This window comes from Homo sapiens, chromosome 3 (genome assembly GCF_000001405.40).
Source record: "Homo sapiens chromosome 3, GRCh38.p14 Primary Assembly".
In the NCBI taxonomy this organism is placed as follows: domain Eukaryota; kingdom Metazoa; phylum Chordata; class Mammalia; order Primates; family Hominidae; genus Homo; species Homo sapiens.
In genome coordinates, this window is record NC_000003.12 from 137,466,524 (window position 1) to 137,469,331 (window position 2,808).

The 2,808-nt window shown below is 39.9% G+C and overlaps 1 annotated feature.

Annotated features, from left to right (window-relative positions):
• Positions 599-1,501: an enhancer, noted in NCBI's record as "VISTA enhancer hs653". NCBI's record gives its function as "enhancer in: forebrain[5/5]" and the evidence as "EXISTENCE:transgenic organism evidence [ECO:0001131][PMID:17130149]".

A 2,808-nucleotide genomic window follows, 5' to 3' on the forward strand; every position in this document is an offset into this window, starting at 1 on the left:
CAAAACAGGAAAACATTATGCCAGGGAAATAAATCCTAAACCTCTTGGAATGTCAGCAACTACAGGAGGCACCTGACTGGGGTTCAGTTTTAGAAAGTCTTTTTCTGATAGCTGTAAGAAGGATGGACCAGAGTCAGGTGAGGCAGAAGGAAGGCAGCAGTTAAGAGCTTACTTACCATGGAATGAGGGGAAAAGGAGAGTATCTGTGATGGCCAAAACCAAGGTGGGGTTGGAGCAGTTCCAAGGCTACCAAGGAGGTAGAATCTAGGGATTTGGTGACTCATTGGATGTGACTGGTTTTAGGAGATTGGCTAGGGTGAAAATTCAAAGAACTCTTAATAACTCTGTGTCCTAGGAAGCCCCATTAAGGGAGGGAATCAAGATTTAGCAGGTGGAGATGTCTACAAGAATTTTGAATATCTTCTAGATTATTAAATTGAGGGATTTCCTAACTTCTTCATGCATTGGACAAGAATCTTCCTGAGCCTCCACGGAAGGGACAATAGCAATTGCCCCCCTTCACCTGCTCTACGCACTCTGGAGCCTCTGCACTTGGAGCCTCTTCCGGCTGTTTCTTTGGGCTGGGTGCCCTAGGACAGGCAGAGTAGGCTTTCAGAGGTAAGTTTGTGGTTAGTACTTTAGCTCTGGTCAGTTGACCATAAATAGATTTTTATACTTGCACATAAACTACTCTGATTGCCCACACATACCTGTAAGTGGATTTGCACGTGTGCGTGCACGCACACACACACACATGCACACACACCTCAAAAAGCAATTTCCCCCCCAGAACATCAAGAAAGTTCCCCTTTCCACTTAAATGCTTTTCCAAATAGTCTTATTTTATTTTTTTTTATTTATTTCTCTGCCATATCCTTTTCAATCTGGAAAGTGACTTGGCCTCTTTTCCCCCATCTATTTTCTGCCTTCCTGCTATTCAGTTTAGGCATGAAACACAGAACTAGATTGAAAGCATTCAATGGCTATTCAATCGGAGAAGAAAAGAGCCCCTTGGAGCTTTATTAGATATGAAGATCCACAATAAAAATCAATTTCTGCCTCTTTATGCAGTTTAAATGACAAAGCACCCACCCATTCTGCGGCCATTGTGCTGGGGAAATGTAATTCAGTCCCCGAGCTGGGCCCAGAGCACCGCGGACTCCCTGACCTGCACTGACAGATTCCAATATGATACAGACCTTCGGAGATAATGACAGCCACTTCATCTCACTGCAAGAAAAAAGTTATCTGATATCTTTGAGGGTTAAAAGGCTATGTGGGCAGCATTTTCAATAACCCACTAAATCAGCATCTTAAAAAATACCTAAGCTTTGTTCCTTTAAAAAAAATTTGCCCCTTACTCCTAACTCCTTTTCTGAGCCCCATCTGATAGTGTCACAAGTGTCTCCTGCCAAATCTATTGAGCCTTCCCTTCCTTGCCACAGAAGGGGACCCTCCTAGATAATTAGTCCAAGGGGAAACAAGGTGAGAAAAACGTCTTTATTCCTCTGAGGAATACAGATCCTCAGGTCTCCAGGTCCTGATGAAATGAATGGTATGAAACTAGTGAAAAGAAAAAAACCGGTCCCCAAATCTGTCCTAACCTGTTTAAAATGTTACTATAAAAAGTTTTTTTATATAGAAATGACACACAGTCCCTTTAATAGGAAGAAGTTTGTATTAGAAGAAAGTTTGTGATGGAGTTGTTGCCAAGGGAACCAGTGAAAACCCTGTCTTTGGTCTTTAATTTTCATGGGTTGAAATCATCTTGATAGAAGAGAAGAAAGTCAAGAAATGAGTTGTGTATTTCCCCTTTCATTTTAAACGGTTAACTTGCAGGAAAACGTATTTGGAAAATAAACCTTTGGAAATAGTGGTTTATGCTCTGAGACTTATAGAGAAACACTTACGTGAACTTCATTCTCTCACTACTACTGAGGAGGAAGGAGGGTAAAGAGATGGTGGAAAGACAACGTATATTGCTCTCTGGTCTCTAGGAAGGACTCAGAGAATGAAAGAGCTACAGGATATTAAATAAGGACCGTGGAAAGGACTACGGACTCTTAAGTTGAGAAAAGAGCATTATGTTACAAAACCACCTGGTCACGGTCTATAAATAACTTTAGGAATGCGAATGAGTCAAAACAATGATGCATTGCTGGGGTAGCAGTGGGGCATAGTGGGAGTGGGGTCGTATTCAAAGAGCTCTATGTGAGTTTAGGAAAGCTTCTTCATTACCTGGGCCTTAACTCCTTAATCAATGAACTACGAAGTCTCTGCAAAATGATTTTTGTAGTCCTTTTCATCATCCTCCAAATCTATGATTTGTTCCCCACATTTACAAAGTTATTTGCTATAGAGATACTATCTTTCAGTTTTGCATTTTAAAAATGCTTTGCAACCAACTGTTCTAACAAAGTGTTCTTTAAAAAATAAGGTGGAAAATCTCTATTTAGCTCCATAGCTGGGGAAACATGGCACTGCTGCTCAGACCTGACATGGCAAATAGGTTTCATCCTGTATGCCAACTCTGTCTGGCAGTGGCTATATAGAGCAGTGCCATCTGATAAAAATGCCAGACATAAAAGTGAGCCACATATGTAATTTTAAATTTTGTGTATGCTACATTTTTAAAAAGGTAGAAAGAAACTAGTACAATTAATTTTTAAAGTATACTATATTTAACTCAATATATCTAAACTACCATCATCTCAACATATAATCACAATTTTAAAACTTTAATGAAATATTTTACTTCCTTTGTTTTTGAATGAAGTCTTCAAAACCCAGTATATTTCACAGCTCTAC